At 43.4% G+C, this 2,328-nt stretch overlaps 1 annotated feature.

The window, feature by feature from the left end:
* Positions 1,021–1,627: an enhancer, noted in NCBI's record as "NANOG-H3K27ac-H3K4me1 hESC enhancer chr7:138062972-138063578 (GRCh37/hg19 assembly coordinates)". NCBI's record gives its function as "activates a minimal SCP1, AML or CMV promoter by ChIP-STARR-seq in primed H9 embryonic stem cells {active_cell/tissue: H9 hESC(primed)}" and the evidence as "EXISTENCE:reporter gene assay evidence [ECO:0000049][PMID:30033119]".

Here is a 2,328-nt window from a genome sequence, read left to right on the forward strand (position 1 = left end):
AATAAAAATGTTGGAACACAAGCTGGGTATTAGAAGATGTTAAGAAATTAACACTTTTTTTTTGGTCAGGTGTGATGATATATATTTTTTTAATGTCTTTATCCATTGGGGATACATACAGAAGTATCTATAGGTGAAATGCTGCAATTTAATATGAAATAATAAGCAAATAAAGAAAGTAGAGGAGTGTATTAGTCCATTTTCATGCTGCTGATAAACACATACCTGAGACTGGGCAATTTACAAGTGAGAAAGTTTTATTGGATTTACAGTTCCACATGGCTGAAGAGGCCTCACAATCATGACAGAAGGTGAAAGGCATGTCTCACATGGCAGCAGACAAGAGAAGAGAGCTTGCTCAGGGAAACTCCTTTTTTAAAAAACCATCAAATCTGGTGAGATTTATTCACTATCACAAGAACAGCACGGGAAAGACCCACCCCCAAAATTCAACTACATTCCACCGGGTTCCTCCCATGACATGTGGGAATTGCAGGAATTACCATACAAGATGATATTTGGGTAGGGACACAGCCAAACCATATCAAGGAGTATACATCAAAAGAAGATTTCTAAAAATTGATAATTTTTGCAAATAGATGATGGCTACATAGTTCTGTGCTATGTTATTCCCTCCACTTTAAAATATACTTAAGATTTCCATAGTAAGAAGCTTTATTAAATATATAAATAATTGGAAAAAATTCAGTGGCATATTTACAAGTTATCTCTATGTGGTGAGATTGGGAATTATCTACTTCTTTAACTTTTGTGTGCCTGAATTAGATGATTTTTTTTTTTTTTTTTTGAGACAGAGTCTTGCTCTGTTGCCCAGGCCAGAGTGCAATGGCTCGATCTCAGCTCACTGTAACCTCCGCCTCCCGGGTTCAAGCGATTCTCCAGCCTCAGCCTCCTGAGTAGCTGCGATTACAGGCATGCACCACCACGCGCAGCTAATTTTTGTATTTTTAGTAGAGATGATATTTCGTCATGTTGGCTAGGCTAGTCTTGAACTCCTGACCTCAGGTGATCCACCAGCCTCAGCCTCCTAAAGTGCTGGGATCACAGGTGTGAGCAACTGCACCCAGCCCACCAGATGATTCTTTTTTTTAATTTTTTTAGTATTTATTGATCATTCTTGGGTGTTTCTCGGAGAGGGGGATTTGGCAGGGTCATAGGACAATAGTGGAGAGAAGGTCAGCGGATAAACATGTGAACAAAGGTCTCTGGTTTTCCTAGGCAGAGGACCCTGAGGCCTTCCGCAGTGTTTGTGTCCCTGGGTACTTGAGATTAGGGAGTGGTGATGACTCTTAACGAGCATGCTGCCTTCAAGCATCTGTTTAACAAAGCACATCTTGCACCGCCCTTAATCCATTCAACCCTGAGTGGACACAGCAAATGTTTCAGAGAGCACAGGGTTGGGGGTAAGGTCATAGATCAACAGCATCCCAAGGCAGAAGAATTTTTCTTAGTACAGAACAAAATGGAGTCTCCTATGTCTACTTCTTTCTACACAGACACAGTAACAATCTGATCTCTCTTTCTTTTCCCCACATTTCCCCCTTTCCTATTAGACAAAACCGCCATGGTCATCATGGCCCGTTCTCAATGAGCTGTTGGGTACACCTCCCAGATGGGGTGGCGGCCGGGCAGAGGGGCTCCTCACTTCCCAGACGTGGCGGCTGGGCAGAGGGGCCCCCCACCCCCCAGACGGGGCGGCTACCGGGCAGGGGCGCCCCCCACCTCCCAGACGGGACGGCTGCCGGGCGGGGGCGCCCCCCACCTCCCAGACGGGGTGGCTGCAGATGATTCTTTAATTAAAATATTTGTGGAAAAAAAGTAAGGTTGAATTTTCTCTTAAATCTAAAATTTTCTGACCCAATCTTTTATCAATCCACTATGCTAGCTCACTCACTCCCGTTTCAACTATATTTTTACCTCACTAATCTCCTCCATTCTTCAAACACTACTTTCTCCTCATATGTCTCAGCTGCTGTCACTTTCCTCTCAATCCAGATAATATTGAATGCATCAATCACTCATGTAGGATATCAGCAACTTCTTTGCAACATTTTTCTTCCGTCCCATCCACCTGGCAAAACCCCAACCACTGGATCAGCCAGACTAGCTGCCTTCTCAATACCAAAACTGCTGAATGTTCACTTTCTGGATTTATGGTCTCTAACCTCAAGTGGGCTCAGAAAATATACTAGGAAGTTCTCTATTCAGATCTTCTTCCCATTTTTCACAGTGACTTTTACACACAGGCTCATCTGCAGAGAGCAAGCCAATAGAGAAAACTGCTCCAGTTACCGCCCCTCACCTATA

Source organism: Homo sapiens, chromosome 7, assembly GCF_000001405.40.
Source record: "Homo sapiens chromosome 7, GRCh38.p14 Primary Assembly".
Lineage (NCBI taxonomy): Eukaryota > Metazoa > Chordata > Mammalia > Primates > Hominidae > Homo > Homo sapiens.